This window comes from Homo sapiens, chromosome 5 (assembly GCF_000001405.40).
Source record: "Homo sapiens chromosome 5, GRCh38.p14 Primary Assembly".
NCBI classification, from domain to species: Eukaryota; Metazoa; Chordata; class Mammalia; order Primates; family Hominidae; genus Homo; species Homo sapiens.
The window spans coordinates 170,191,204-170,207,931 of record NC_000005.10 but is presented as its reverse complement, the minus strand read 5'-3'; the positions used below and the strand labels follow the sequence as shown (position 1 = coordinate 170,207,931).

Sequence of the window (16,728 nt, the reverse complement as noted above, 5' to 3'; positions counted from 1 at the left end):
TATCGTGTGAGGCAATAATACTAAAAATATGTGCCACTCGCCATGTGAGGGGCTTTACATAGTTAGCTCACTGAATACTTACAATACACCAGAATGGGGGGGAATACTACCCCTACCTTGTCTGTTCTATAGACAGGGAAACTGAAGCCCGGGAACACGAAATCACTTGCTTATGAATAGAAGCTTGTGCAGAATGATGTAAGTTACCTAATTCTAGGCCACTTGCTTTTTATTCTGCAATACAAGAGGGATGGCACATATGTGGGAGGCAACTAAGATATACACATAAGTTTTGAAATCTTTAAAGCATCATGTAAATGCATGGTACTTGTTGCTGTTACTTTTGAGTGCTGCTACCATATTCTGCATATGAACAACTTCTCATAAAATCAAGTAGCTTTGGCCCAAATGTAACCGGTCTACCTTTGTAAAAAGTATCATTGTTGCTGGAAATAATACAATTTCACCTTCTACCTTAGAGAAAAGCCTGGGTTTATTTTTGTCTTTTTTTATAGAGGAGTTGAAAGTCAAGGAATCTTAGTGGAATCAATTTTTGAGATTTGTCAGAGAGGGTTGCAAACTGTTTATCAAATTCTCATTGATTTCTTCCCCACAGGAATTGCCGACGACACAGGCAGAATAAAAAGGATTTTCTTTCTGCCTCCTTCTTGCCCTTCTGAACAGATACTTTTGAAACAAAAATACAGAAATAAATACATACATCGATGATCCCCAAGGCTCCGAAGTGACAATCGATAATTTTTCTCTCTTGTTTGAGTTGGCCTCACAGTTCCAATATTTACTTTATTTCACAAACACTTAACATAGTTTTCTCTTCTACTCATTTTGCAAACGCTAACTCACTTAATTCTCTTGTAAAACCTCTGAGGTAGATACTCAGAGTATCTACCCTTTAGTCCCATTTTACAGGTGACGAAACGGAGGCATATAGAGGTAAAGTAATTTGCCAAGGTGGTACGACTAGTCAGTTGTGGCTCTGGGGTCTGAAATCTGTGTACCTGACCACTACGCCACATTACCTCTGCATCCCTGGGCCTCTCCCACTGCGACATTGATGCCCACAGTACCAAACGTAACTGGGACCCGCAAAAAGTTAATTTCAAGACCCAAGAATTACCTTGTCTCACTCAATGTTTCCCACCAGACTTAGCAAAACACACCTGTCATATTCTGAATGCTAGGGAACCAGGAATTCGAAATGATATGCTTTATTTTTTTCCCTTATCAGGTTTGATCTTGACAAAGGAAACAAAAATCTTATTTGTAGAGGTAGATTCTGTTTGAGGACCCCCAGATGCTGTGGTACACGCAACATCTGGCTGAAGAGCCAATTACACTTTGTGTGTTTAGCCAGGTTTCTATGGCAGCAGCCCTCTGAACATCTACGTTTCTTTTGCTTTTTAAAATATGGCTTTAATAATTACAATAGCATAACAAATCCTAATCATTATGGTAAACATTTATCCAGTGTTTACCAGGGCCAGTGACAGTGCTAAGAGCTCCATGTGTCTAATGTTGTTTGATCCTCCAAATAACACTATGAAACAGCTTAGGAAATAAATAAAGCTTAGCTGTATTTTACAGACGTGGAAACTGAAGCATAGAGAGGCTAGGTCACTTGCTTAAAGTCACAGAGAGTTGCAGTTCTTGGATTTGAAACTAGGTCTGTTTGACTGGGATCTGAATTAGTTTTCTAAACTGCCTCTCACATTACAGACTCATGAGCTCAGCTCAAAACTCTCATTCGTTGTGCTTTCAAGGGGAAATTCAGTTTAATTTCAGTGTATGTGTTGCAGAAGCCAGCACAGAAATTCAGCTTAAGATTATTCCTTGGTGCTCTTTCCTTTATTCACTCATGAAAAAAGTGGGGAAATAAGATATCATTCCTGCTTGGTGGACTACAAAGAGCTTATAAGGGAGAGCGATGTGCCATTATAAGGAGATTAAGAAAATCCCAGACAAAGCTAACACCTCGGTGACTGGAAAGCCCATTGGCTTTCTAACTTAGCTTAGGACTCAGTGAATGCTTCCTGGAGGAAGTGGCTTAAAATTCAGCGAAGGCATCCTGGAGGAAGTGGCATCTAGGTTGGGACAAAAAGGGATACACCAGAGTTTAGCAGGAAAAACCCAGTTAGAGCAAGGGGCATTCTGGGAATAGGAAAAATTACTTACCCCAAAAGTGAGATAATATGAGACACTTTCAGAGAAATATAAGAAATGTAGTCCACTCTGAATTGCGGGTGGGGTGGGAGCAGCCAGAGCTGAAGCTAGAGAGTTAAAGACGAGATTATTCTGGAGCCTTATACGCTGTGGGAGAGTTTATACAACGCTGGATTTCTGGTGGGGTGGGGGAAGCCTTCCAAAGATCATTCTGTGATTTTTGGAATTATCAGGAGCTGTCAGCCACAGAAGTCAGCCTTTTGGAACCCACTTAGGAGGCACTGTGGTCTGACGGTGGGACAGGCCATTTGTTAAGGAGGTCACCCTGAGAAAGTCAGAATGCTTGATGATGGCAGTGACAGCACTTGCTCTGTTGAAAATGACTTCTAAATTTCCTGTGGTTGCGGAAAAGCCAGCTGATGTCCCAAGGCAGAGAACCATCAGTGATGCCTTTCTAAAGATGCTTCACCAGAAAATAAGGTTACTGCCCTCATACATAAGAACAGTGCGTGGGACATTGAGTAAAGATTAGAAAATTGGGTGGGCATCTTGGGAAAAATGCAAACTGCAATAGACATTTCTATCTGGTTTATTTTTCTGCTGTGAAGAAAAACTGTTTACTTGTTAGAAATATCGTACTTTTATAGAATTGAAGATTTTGGGCTTTGGACTCAGACAAGTCCCAGTTCCAACCTGGGCTTAGTTAACTGTTTGCTGAGGAACTTGGAGCCAATGACAACCCTCTCTGTGTCCAGGGTTCAGAGGGTCTAAAATGGTGACATACCTACTCCTTAGGATGTTCGGGCCCATTAGCTGAGACAGTGTGCATAAAGTACTTACCACGGTGCCTGGCACTTGACTCAGCCAATGATGGTGAGCCTGAGAACTTTTATCACTCTTTAGGCAGTCACTATACCTGACATTCATATCGTGAAAACGGCAAGTCAGGAAACCTGAATTTCCATTTCCTACTATTGTTGTAAGCATATCACTAATACCATTTTGTGTTAAGACTCTTTATTTTCCACCTAACATTTAAGCATAAGAGCATTCTATTAGTCTGCTTGGGCTTCCATAACAATATATCACAGGCTGGGTGGCTTAAACAACAGAAATGTATTTTCTCACAGTTCTGGAGGCTGGGAAGACCTAAATCAATTCAATTTCTTGTGAGGCAGGACATGTGAAAGCTCTTCCCGGCTTTCATATGGCCGCCTGCCTGCTGTGTCCTCACGTGGCGAAGAGAGAAAGAGAGAGTACAAGCTGTCCGGTGTCTCTTCTTATATGGTCATGGATCTTATGGAATCAGGGCTCCACTCCATAGACTCATGTAAACTTAATTACTTCCTTACTCCAGATACAGTCACAGTGAGGATCAGGACTTCCATATATGAATTTTGAGGGGGACATAACTCAGTCCATAACAAGCATATTCACTGTAGTTGTTATTTTAATACCTCATCAACTGTCTATGCCATAATTTACTTTTGTCCTATTTTTGGACATTTAGGCTATTTTCCAGATTTTTAAAGAATGTAAAGAATACTAGCATGCACATTTTCATGTATTTAACTGTTTGCTTTTTTTCGGATGAATTACTTAGGCTAATTCTAGGAAATATTACCAGCATGCTGAATACTGTGAACATTTTTACAGTTCCTAAGACATATCACCAGTTGCCATCCCAGAAGCTCTTATTTATTCACTTGCCATGAGCACTGAAAGAATGCACCTCCACAATGCTATGGGTTATCATTACCTTTAATTTTTGTTATTTCATCTACACAAAATTATTACTTACTTACTTTATTTATTTATTGAGACGGAGTCACTCTCTGTCACCCACGCTGGAGTGTGGTGGCACGCAACCTCCGCCTCCCAGGTTTAAGTGATTCTCCTGCCTCAGACTTCCGAGTAGCTGGGATTACAGGCGCCTGCCATCACGGCTGGCTAACTTTTGTATTTTTAGTACAGATGGAGTTTCACCATGTTGGCCAGGCTGGTCTCGAACTCCTGACCTCAGGTGATCTGCCCACCTCGGCCTCCCAAAGTGCTGAAATTACAGGTGTGAGCCACCACACCCAGCCATTACTCATTTTATTCCATTTCCTCCATAATGAGTACGATAGAAAATTTTCGGTCTGATTCTTAACGTAAAATCATCTTTATCAATATTAGATATTATCCTTATTTATAATTTTTGCTACTATAGAGGTATACATTTATTTCTCATCTATGCTTATTTCTTTTTCCATAACTGCCAAGATTAACCCAAAAGACAAATACAGGGTGATAATGGGTTTAGTAACCATTGGAGCAACATTTGCTATTCATTTGTTATTCATTTTTAAGGCTATGTGTTCATATTTCAGAGACATGATACCTTGTCAGAGGAGACCAAAAAAAAGAAGATATCAAAGATGTGAAACTTCTGCCCATTACGGAGATGTTTGGACCAGCCCTTTGTGACTTGACAGGTGAAGGTTGTTCATAATAATCTGCTATCTCGTTTTTTCTGTTTCCCCTTCCTCCTCTCCACAGCTCTATTATTGACACATTTTAGTACCTAGTGGCTTTCCATGTTGTGCCATGGCCATTAAGCAACTTTCTTAGGGATACCTTGCACTTGGCATCACTTCATACCACAAATACTCTTCTCTCTTCATTAAGCAGATTTGCTGGGCAATAGGGTCTCAGTTAGCAATTAATAAAAACACTTCAAGCTCCGTCTCCTTAAGATCTGCGTGACAAATAACTCTAATGGCACATGCATTTAAAAACTGGACAGGTGACCGGGTACTGTGGCTCACGCCTGTAATCCCAGCACTTTGGGAGGCCAAGGTGGGCAGATCACGAGGTCAGGAGATCAAGACCATCCTGGCTAACACGGTGAAACCCCGTCTCTACTAAAAATACAAAAACATTAGCCAGGTATGCTGGCACGTGTCTGTAATCCCTGCTACTCAGGAGGCTGAGGCAGGAGAATCACTTGAACGTGGGATGTGGAGGTTGCAGTGAGCCAAGATCGCGCCACTGCACTCCAGCCTGGGTGACAGAGTGAGACTCTGTCTCAAAACAAACAAACAAACAAAAACTGGACAGGTAAATGTGAAAGACTGAATGAGTGATAGTGAAATTTCAGACAGAGGGGAAGAATTAGGGCACAGAGTTGAACTAACCTTGAAGTAGGACTCAGGAAATATCCACAAGCTCATTATACAACAGCTGGCAATTCTCTCTCTTTCTCCTTCTCTTTTAAACATTTTTATTTGCAAATAATTTCAAACTTAGGGAAAAGTAAGCATACCCATTAGATTAATCTATTGTTAATGTTAACATTTCACCCCATCTGCTCTTTCTCTCTTGGCACACACACATGTACATACACACAATTTCTTTTTCTGAGACACACGAAGAAGTTGCATACATCATAGTCTTTCATCCCTGAATCCCTATGAGCTTCCTAGAGAGAAAGATATTCTCTCACATAATCACAGTAGGGTTATCAACAGTCTAAATTCAAAACTGATACAACTCCTTTTATCTGATCTATGATTTACGTTCCAATTTTGTCAGTTGACTGAAAAATATCCTTTATAGCATTTTCTCCTTTAGTTCAGTTTCCAGTCTATGATCAGGCTTTGCGTTTAGTAGTCATGCCTCGTTAATCTCCTTTAATATGGAACATTTCCACGGTTCCCTCTCTTGACATCAGCCTCTCTGAAAAAAGAGGGCATCAGACATATGTGGGTTTCAATCCTGACTTTATCACCTTGGAGCTGAACAACCACAGGCAAGCTACTTCACCTCCCTGAACCTCAGTCTTCCCATCTGCTAGATGGGAATAGTAATATAATGAAATGTGGTGAGAAGTCAGTGAAATCATGCACGATCTGAAGGCACCAAGCAAGGTGCCTGGAACCTAGTAAGTAATCACCAAATTCGATTCATGTAATAAACGTAATATAATTAGTTCTGGTTCTGTCACTTATTTGCTGTATAATCTTGTGAAAGTTGCTTTGCCTCTCAGAGACCTAATGTCCTAGGTTGTAAAAGTGGGGCTTTTCATACCTTCTTCCTGGGATTGAAGGAGATAAACCAGGTAAGGCATCCAGCTCAACGCTGGTGCATGGAAGTGTGCAGTCAATGCTAGTTCCCCTTCCTCTTGCAAATGCTGACTAGCTTCTTAGCAATAAGGCCTCCATTTCCCTTATCAGTGTCCCTTTCATACAGAATTCTCAAAAGGGAAATACACACTTTCTGAACATTAACTACAGGGGCAAAACCCTTACAGGAGGTGCTATCATGTGAGAAGCTCTGAACATCCAAAGATGATAGCTCTTTAAAGGGGAAACCAGAAACTTCACCCTCCCCATGGATGTTTTTACCAAGTGTATTTTGGAATAATCTTTTCTCTGTTGGTCAAACAAACGGCCCTTGTAGGTGTGGTGGGTGTGGTGGAGGTTTGGGGAGTGGGGTGCTGGTGTGCCCAGAGTGGCCATGATTCATTGTTGATTGAAATTAGACTGTGGGCATCCATGTGACCTTTGTGTCATCATGGAAACTCTGATGAGAGTGACTGCCCAAAACAGAGCTCTCCAGGGCTCAGCACCCTCCCTCCTGGAATGTGTCCCAAGGTCTTTCCAGGGCAAGTCGGGCCTCAGCTCAGTGTCACCTCTCCAAGGAAGGCTTCTCTGGGCTCTGCATTTGATGTTGACTTCCTTGTTTTAATGTCTGCTTAGCACTCTCTGGTCTGGCCTATCTGTTTATCTGATTCTTTTGTGTTTCCTCCATTATCTGTAAGCCCCAGATGTCAGGGAAGTTGCCTGTGTTACTCTCCACTGAATGCCCAGCCTAGGTCATGGTGGTCATCAATTTCATTGGTCACCAATATCTGTTGCTTCAATAAATGAGTCCTCTTCACCCTGTTTGCTCTGTGATAATGAAGCCCAGTGAAGGTCTTGAGCCCCATCATGACTTGAAGGGTGGATTGTGAGAGCTCAAGAGTATGTCTGTGGAGGATGCATTAGGACTGAGTTGGGGGGTCATGACATTTGATCCCTGAAAGCAAGAAAACAGCTTCCACTCTCGGATATGGTTTCCTCTTTTCTTTGATTGCAACTGGTTGTCATGATCCCTCCAGTCCATCTTGGGTGCAGAAACCCTGGGGATTGCCAAAGGCTCCTTTCTGAACCATCTTTTCAAACATGCGGGACATTCCCTGTCCAAGTGAGCTGCAAGGACAAAATAGAAATTTGTGGATGCAAAATGAGATTACTGATGTGGTTGCTGAAACTTATAAAACTCCCTCAGTGATAGGGGTTGTGGTGGCCTGTAAAGGGGATAATGATGACACCTTCAAGCTCTCCTTTTATACCACACAGCCGGTGGAGTCAGGACTTAGGTTCGAATCCAGTCAAGCTATATACATCTGTGTGACTTGGGCAGACACTTTTCCTCTTTTAAGTATCAGTTTCCTCACCTGTAAAATAGGAGTGATAAAACCTACCAAACCTGTGAGATGTCCCCATGACAGAGCACCCAGCACAGGCCACGTAAGGGCTTTCCTGATGTAAGCTTAAGCAGGACAGGCTCGGGCTCAGGACTGAGGCCTCTGGAGCCACCCTCCTACAGGCTGGGTGGCCATGGATAATGTGCTTCACCTCTCTGAAGTCTCGGTTTTCTCACCTGTAAATTGGCCGTAATAACACCTAGGGTATATTTCCTAGGGCTATTGGGAGAACCAGTTAGAATATATTTTTCACATAAAATGTCATTCAGGTAATTATGGCTGTTTAAAGCCTTATAAACTTAGATCTTGCCCTTGTAGACAGAAATGAAACAATTGCTGTGACTGGGTCTGATATCATAGCCAAACCCCTACACAAAACAACAGACTTATCATTCAAACAAATCAGTGAAAATAATTGGTCTTGTAAGTTGTCAATACCCTGTGCAACAAAAGCATTGGTGGAATGACCTTGAGCATTAAGGGGGAGTTGTAGGGATATCTTCTAGAGAAAAGATGGAGTTGTCACCTCCCATGTGCTCTGCTACATCTTCTCTTTAACTTTTCCCTTTGCCCAAAGCAACATGGACCATCTGTTTAATCAACCTCCACCACAACTCCATTCCCCAGTAAGCCAAGTCAGCAACTACTCAAATGCCTCATTCTAAGATGTGCTGATGGAGTGTGGCCTGCCTCAGAGGGTCTCTCCCTTCAAATAGGTCTATATTGTCTGGTTTGTTTGTGAACAGAGCCAGGTAGGTGCCGTGTGGCTCAGAGAGGTGGCTGGAAGTGACCTTCCATGACTCAATTCCACAGGTTTGTTTGCAAGAACACAGACACACGAGTGGCCACTGACAATATGTGTTCCAACATTATATACGGGGTATATTTTGCTCAGAAACATGCCCTGTTAGTTGTTGAAACCTTTTTTGCATTCCCTGAAACAAACGACACTATGGTGTATTTTCTTTTGGGGGGCAGTAAATAAAAGTCTTTTATGTTGACAATGATAATATTATATTCTACAATCTATTTGCATTTCTCTATCCTGTGGATTTTATTGCTTAGTATAAATCCCCAGGCTGAGGTGCATTAAGCTTCACTCAGAGAGAAACAATGCATTTTATCATAGGGCCGGACAGCTATATGCACAAGATGCTACCTGCAGAGATTGGTTTTTGCCCAGATGTGCAGGAGAGATGCACAGAGAGGAAGAAATGCATACATGTGTGCAGGTTTTGGCGTGTGCACAAGAAGCCTGGAAGGATTTTCTTTGGATCTACAGTCAAAATGGATTTCCGAGAGGAAGCTGTCTGAAAACACACCTCTTCCCTGTGCTACATACGGTCCCATCTCTGCCAGCCAGGTTGTCAGGAAAGTGATCAGCACTGGCTTCAACTCTGGCTAGAGCTCTTTGGCCAATGTGATGGGCAGAAAACTGGAATGAGGACAGAAAAGCACCTCAGAGGTTTGAAGAGTCTAGTCTCTCACCACCTTGCTGTAGGTTTTCTGAATACTTCTGAGTTTAGGAGCATTTTTTCTCAACAGGCAAGTCAGGAGCTGCTAAGATAAACCATGGCAGTAAGCTCGAGCCAGTGTTCGTATTTGCCATTGATCGGCCACCAAGTGCTTGCTATGTGCCATGCATTGTGCTAAGCACTATCTCATTTAATATTTACAGCAATCTTATGAGGTAGATGCTACTGTTATCTCCATTTTACAGATGGGGAAACTGAGGCACAGAGTTCCACAGCTGGTAACTTGAGGAATAGGAATTCAACCACTGGAGAGTCTGGCTGGAGTTTTTTGTGGTAGGAGAAAATATGCTGTCTAAATTTGCCTTGGGAAACCATCATGGTGGTCACAAAACCACTTCTACGGCTTGCCTTGACCTAGCAGGAATGAAGATGTAAAGAAAGAATGAGCGCGTCATGGTTATGATGGGATGATGATGTCTGTTGTGTTGTTTGGTGTCAGTTTCTGTAACGCCTTTCTATTTCAATCAAGGCTATTATCTTTTCCTCTGTTTTAGTGAAGTTTCCTTGAAGTAGAAAATGGGAGTGTATTGGGCATCTCAGAGTTTTCAGCTGAACTGAAGGGTCTGATGGTAACTTTACCCCCAAATCTCTGAGAGAAAAGCAGGGAGTCCCTGCTTCAGCTCTGCTCAGAAGAGCCTCCCTCACATGGTGGTTTCTGTGTCACTAGACTGGTTAACCAAATGGTTCTTCTAAATACCCAACTTTTAATAGAAACTCCTGCGGCTTGGATTATTAAAGTCCTAACATGCTTATTTAATCGTGTTTCAAGTCCATCTATCTTTTTTGAGTCTAAGGAAGACTCACTAGGTCAGAAGGAGTAGAGGGAAGAGGATTAATACATGATTTTCTTTTTCCCCTTTTTCTTTTAACTTAGGCTGAGACTTATTTGAATGCCTGTTTCATATGGAGCTTTTAAGTGTAACAGTTGTGAGTGAAATTGCCCCTTTTCAAGGTAATTGAATTCCATTTTTCACTTTCCATTTCCCTCTAGAAAAATCAAAACGTTTTCAGAGCTTGGCTTCTTAGTGGGTGATTTTCTAAGGTGGGAACTTTAGAACCATAAAACATTCTAGTGTGGCAAAGGCATTCAGGAACCGGATGACCAGGCCCCTTCTCCGCAGGTGAACAGCCTCCACCAGCCGGTCTTGGAGAACATATTGATTTCACTGTGTTTTTATTTGAAACACCAAAGGAATGCCCATATCTTGTCCTTGGGCCAGGGCTGTGGGTTAGGGGAGCTGGGTTTCTGTCCAGAATCTTGTCATCTGTAGGGCAGCTGAGGGGCATTATTACCCAGAGGTCCCTGGAAACCTGTGCTAAATTGGTTTGGATCAGTGTCCGTGAAAATGTTGGACAAAGGAGAGTCGATTTTAGCTGACACCTGGACACGACTTTAAATAACACTGTATCACGGAGCAACACAATGTCCTCCCAACTCTTTTTCGGTCTTTCCGATTATGTTAGGGACAAAGTCTCAGTTTGGTGCTGTTGTGGTCGAACTATCTTCTCATCTCTGTTTTTTAAAGTCAGGCAGATCAAGCCTTACTCCTAGGGCTTTAGAAGGTAATAGTTTCTGATTTGGATTTAATCACATTGTTTTATTTCCTTTTTAACATTTTTATGACAACTTTTGCTTTATAGCAGTTTTAAAGGTAGGAAAAAATTTTCGTTTGAAAACAAGTTGGTTTGAGATGTTTTTCACTCTTACATAAAAGACCCACCTTCACAGCGTATGAGCTTCTAAAGTTGGGGAAGCAGTGGCTTAGGTGGGCAGGCAGGAAATTCAAGCAGGTTGGTTTCTGCCAAAGTCAGAGATGATTGCCACTTACTGGAAGGCTGTGTTGGAACAGAGTGGGCACAGGCATTGGGAGCAGAGCTGATTTCCAATCTTCCTGCTGCCCTCGCTGCCTGTGTGTGCCGTGGCCTTCTTGAGCTTTAGTTTTCTCACCTGTGGAACAGGTTTCATGAGCAGTTGGAAGGAAGCAAATGAGCTTCATTTTCTACAACAGGGTGGGTGGTGTAGTTGATATTCACCCCAAAGGTGCAGGATCCCCACTTCTGTTTATTGCCAGCGCTCCGAGTTTGCTTCTGCATGGAAGGGGAAGATGGACTAGAGCTGATACCTCCTGCACCCTGGTGAAGAAATGCACCCTGAGGCCAGAAAATAGTACAAACCCATCTGGCTGCAACAGTCCAGCAGCATGAAGATCAAAGTCACGTGTGAGTTTTGTGCACGGGCAGCCTTTCCTCTTCTCAGGCTGCAAATCTTTGGCAATCGGAGGCAGGCTCTGAATTAAGCTTAATTAAAATTCACTCTTAATTAGGGCCATTACTTAAAATCAATTCTACATAATAAAGCTGTGTAATCATAATTAAGCCCCAGAAATGGGATTAGGAAGCACAGAATGCAAAAGCCAAACATGGGTGAGCCTGGTGCTGGCAGGGGCAGTGGCAGAGACTTCTCGAGTTAACAGAATTTTTAAATAGCCAAGGCCCCGTGAGTGCTCTGATGAGAACCTGGGTGGCAGGCAGCACAGTGAGCTAATCAGAAAAAGGATTTGAGATGAATGGGCCCCGAGAGGCAAAGCTCCATGGTGTGGTGTTACTGGCAAGAGAAAGGAGCGGCATAAAACAGAGGGGACCAGATGAGTCTCCTCTCCAGGCCCTGTTTCCCCAGCTGTGAAATCAGGGTGGAGGGCAGCTGTTTCCCAAACAAGGATGTCTCTAATGACTGTCTGCAAACTCAGGACCCCTGATGTGGGGCTCTCTTGAGGGGATTTCATGGCAGCAAAGTCAGGATCGATGCCATCTGCTCGTAGCATGACAGGGGTCCTGTGGAGTTGAGTTTTGTAGTTGTTGGCATCATTGAGGTGGTGGTTGTCTATTTTTTAACTAATGAAGGGGGGGGGTGTGAAGTAATATTTGACAATCTCTTACTTCCACACTGATGAGCACATAACAATTAGGAGCTTGGTTTTGGAATGAGCCAATCAATTTTGAATTTTAGATGTGCCAATTATCGGCCAAGTGGTCTAGGGCAATATTTACTTCACTTTTCAGTTTATTCAACTGTTGTATGAGATTATAATAATAGTAGATACCTTGAAGGTTGTTCTGAGAATCATGCATATGTGTATAGCGCAGTGCCTGCCAAATAACAACTAATTTTATATTGTTTCAATGTATTTATAGTGTTAATTATATTTACATTTTGAATTGGCTGTGCATCAAGCACTGTTCTGTTTTATATGTATGAGCTAATTTTATTTTCACAATCGCTCTGAATAAGCATTATTATTTTCTCTGATTTCTAGATAAGGAATCTGAGGCTCAGAGAGGTTTAGTTCCTTGCTTAAGGGCGCAAAGAAAGTAACTAGCAAATAATAAGAGCCGCATAAATAATATTATTATAAGGATACTATCTATCTGTATGTGCTCAGAAGCTACAGTGAAATCCCCGGGGAAGTGGCTTACCTGTACTCATCCCCCAGAACGCAAGCCTGTGCTTCTAACCCTGCCAGAATAAGGCCAGGCATTTGAGTTCAGAGCGAAAGGGTCTACCAGGTGCGGATTCCGGAGCTGTGGAATTGGAGCCGGGAGGGAAAGCCAGAGAGAGCTCCTCCCCATATCTGTTTTTCTTTAATTATTTTATTTTGTTTTATTTTATTTTATTTTATTTTACTTTACGTTACGTTACGTTATGTTATTTTATTTTAGAGATGGAGTCTCTCTATGTTGCCCAGGCTGAACTCAAGCTCCTGGGCTCAAAGGATCCTCCTGCCTCCATCTCCTGAGTAGCTGGGATTGCAGGTGCACGCCACCATGCCCAGCTCCGTATCTGTTTTTTGATTTAGTGTTTTAGTTCAGAGGGTGCCTCACACCTCTCACGTCACATATGTGAGTGCTAACTGTGTGCCTGATGCTGAGTTGGCCTGGACATACACTATCTTATTTAGTTTTTACGACAGCCCAGAACGTCAGGAAGTATCACTCCCATTTTGCAAATGAGGAAACTGAGGCTCAGAAAAGCAAAGCTCGTTGACAAAAGTGAAATATATCATTTGACCCCAAATTGGCACAGAGCTGGAAATTGGGTTTTCAATCCATTTCATCAAACACTATGCAGTTCCAGAAAAGTTGCTCAGGCTGGGGTGCCTCCCAGACTCTGCCTCTGCTCACAGCCAAGTCAGCTCAGCTCAGCAGGAAGGATCTTTTTTTTTTTTTTTTGAGTTGGAGTCTTGCTCTTATTATCCAGGCTGGAGTGCAGTGGTGCAATCTCGGCTCACTGCAACCACCTCCTCCAGGGTTCAAGCAATTCTTCTGCCTCAGCCTCCTGAGTAGCTGGGATTGCAGGCGCACACCACCACGCTCAGCTAATTTTCTCTATTTTTAGTAGAGACAGGGTTCCACCATGTTGGCCAGGCTGGTCTTGAACTCCGGACCTCAGGTGATCCGCCCGTCTCTGCCTCCCAAAGTGCTGGGATTACAGGCATGAGCCATCATGGCCACCCAGGACTTCTCTACAATTAGATTTAGAACAAAATATGCCTTGGTGCTGGAGATGTCCTGCAGTTCACATTTCCCAGACAGCCTCAGGCCTATGCAGTGATTCCCTCAGTGGTATCCATTCTGCTTACATGCCTCCAGTGAGGAGGACATCACCTCTTACTAAGCTAAATTCTCACTTTCTTTGACAGAGTAGAGCCAGAGAGAAATTTGCCCTGGGCCTAATATTCATGAAGCCTTTCCAATTCAGACTCGGTATTATTGCCAAGTCGGTGTGTTTGGGTGAGTATATGTTGAAAGCATTAAATTGTTAAATGCAGAAGTTTCAATTGTATCACAATTTTTGCAAATCTGTATTAGAATTTCCTCATTTGTTAATATGTCAGGAACATTAATTGAGAAAGAAAATAGGATGGGGTCTGGTCCATTGTCCATGCCTGCGGGTCCTGAGAGTTAGCAAAGACATTCCTCGTTGAGCTCAGATTTGTACGTTTGTGACATTTCTGCTCCCTGGCAAGGGTCCAGAGAGGATTGGCTCAGGGAAGGCATCTTGTGCCACTGCCACCTTTGACTCAGCTGTGTGGGAATGAAGGGAAGTCTTACTCGGATAAGGAAGAGTACACCATTACTGCCCAGTGCCAGCCTGATGCAGCCAAGGGCCCTCCAGTGGTTGGGAGGAGGGCAAATGGTGGACAGTAGGGGACCTGGTGGCCAATTCAGGTTTCCTAGGATCCCAGAGGGTCTGCTCTGTAAGCAAATGGTGACCACTTCCTTGTGCTTGCACTAGGCACCCTGCTACACAACTCCAGGGGGCACCATTCCCATGGTATTTTATGTCAGTGCCTCTCTGTGGGGTTGTGCTACACGAAGCCCCTGAGGCAAACCCCAGCTCCAGAGAGCTGAACCCCACATGGAAATGCTGGGCTCCCGGTGCCCACAGACCTTGACTGCTGACCAGAGGAGGCTGCCGGCCCTCTCCCTGCACAACCTCTTTGTCCTTCAGCAAAAGAGTATTTGCCTCTATTTACACTAAATAGAGCCAGCTCCGCTTGCTGGTTCCTGTATTTTGGGCAAGCCGAGCTGGAGGCCCCTGAAGCCGGTCTGAGCAGGCAGCCGCGTGTCCTGGTGGTGGTCATGCAGATGGCTCTCCAGGCCAGGTCCTCCTCCAACAACGTTTACTAAACACCTTATCTCCCTGAAAACACGTGACGTAATGTTTATGAAACATCACCCTGTCCCTTCCACCAGGCGGTGGGGGAGCCGGGGGGCACTCCCTTACCTTCCTCGCTTCCCTCTGCCTTCTTCTGCTCCCCTCATTTGGGTGAAAAAGTACGCTGGGTCTTCCCTCACTGCAGGCCTGAGCAGAGAGCAGCACCCTCCATGGGCCTTTCCAGGCCTTTCCATCGGCGCCATGTCTCCACTTACCAGGGCACATTCACCGCCCCCAGGAGTGTTGTCGGCCTCTTTTTACACAAGAGGAAACAGGCTGAGAGCATCAGTGGGTTGGTGGTGAGCTGGGGACCCAGGCTCCTACCTCCTAAAGCCCCCTCTGAACTGCTGTATTTGGGATAACTACCCATTTAAACATTCCTGATTTTTCTGCAGATGGATGACTGGGTGGATCAACAGCTAGTTATATACACACATAGAAAAAAGATAGCTGAACACACGAATAGGTGGATAGAGATGATTGTGTGAGTGGATAGATAGAGAGGTGTCTGTGCAGACAATTCTGGAAGAAAACAGGAGAAACTGTGGGCAACAGCTGCCTCTAGAAGGGAATAAGTCGTCTGAGGAAGAGAGAGAGAAAGAGAGATGGTTTTTTTCTTTTTTGCTCTCTCTAAACTGTTGGGATGTTTTTTATGTGTATCAATTAGTTTTTAAAAATCTCTTTTTCTATTTTTTGCCCTCTATTCCTGTGTGTCTACCTACAGGAGAAATCAGAAGCCAACACACTAGAAAAGTTGCAAGAGATTCCTAGGGGAACCCACAAATTCAGTTCCTTGCCAGAAACCTGCTCCTCCAGATGAATCTAGTGCATCAGATGGGCTCAGAAGCACAGGTGGCGCAGGCAGACCTCTACTGAGAAGAACAACAGTGGAAGGCAGATGAAACTCACATTTTGGAGTCTGAGAGCCATGCGGGCCCACCCCAGTTACGTCTACCCCTGGTCGGTGACCAGAGAATCCTTTAGCAGCAACAGCAGTGATGTTTATTTCACTGGTATGTATAAAGCGACTGATTGAAAACAAGCTGTATGCCCAACAACTTGGAACTGGTTAAATGATTTTTGGTTCAGCCGCACAGTGGAATATCATGCGGCCATTAAGAATAAATAAAAAATCCTATACTTTCCATGTTCAACTTTAGACTGCAAACAACTGAAAAAACACCTTCATAATTAGGCTTCCTCAGATTAGAACGTGAAGTCAAATCAACGTGTGTCAGAAAGTTAACAACAGCTAACTGTTTGTTGTGGTGTTCTGAGTAACTTGTATTATTTTTCAGTTTTTTTCCCATTCCTAATGTGCAAATGTACTATTTTTATTGTAAAAAAAAATACATGTTTGTAAAGAGCAATAACATAAATCTCTGCATAGGCAAATTGAAAGGAAATCAGACAAAATGATACCTTTTGGTAGTGGAATTCTAAATCATTTTTTTCTTCATTAGAGTTTCTGAATTTTCTGCATTTGATATGTTTACCTTTATAAAGGGTCAATCATATTTAAGATGATTTTTTAAAAGACAAGTGGACAGGGAAAGAGAGGTCTGCTGTTGCAAAACCAAAGCTGGAGGCTCTCCGAAGCCCACTTATGTTAGTCAATTGATATTTCATGAAACTCTAGAATGTGCAAATCACTTTCCACGGGGATTGGGGGGGTGAGAAATACAGAGATGAAGGAGATGCAAACACTTTAATCAAAGAAATCCGTCTGGTTGGGAAGAGAAGGTTCTGCATTATATAAGTTGCAAGGTCTTATCCAAGAGGTT

The 16,728-nt window shown here is 43.2% G+C and overlaps 1 long non-coding RNA gene across 1 annotated transcript; it reads left to right on the top strand.

The window, feature by feature from the left end:
* The first annotated feature begins 8,790 nt into the window (after positions 1 to 8,790).
* Positions 8,791 to 16,285, top strand: LINC01187 (long intergenic non-protein coding RNA 1187). Its single transcript, NR_108022.1, has 5 exons — positions 8,791 to 9,190; positions 10,103 to 10,180; positions 11,301 to 11,448; positions 13,926 to 14,016; positions 15,669 to 16,285. It is a non-coding gene; the product is annotated as a long intergenic non-protein coding RNA 1187 (long non-coding RNA).
* Positions 16,286 to 16,728: the final 443 nt, after the last annotated feature.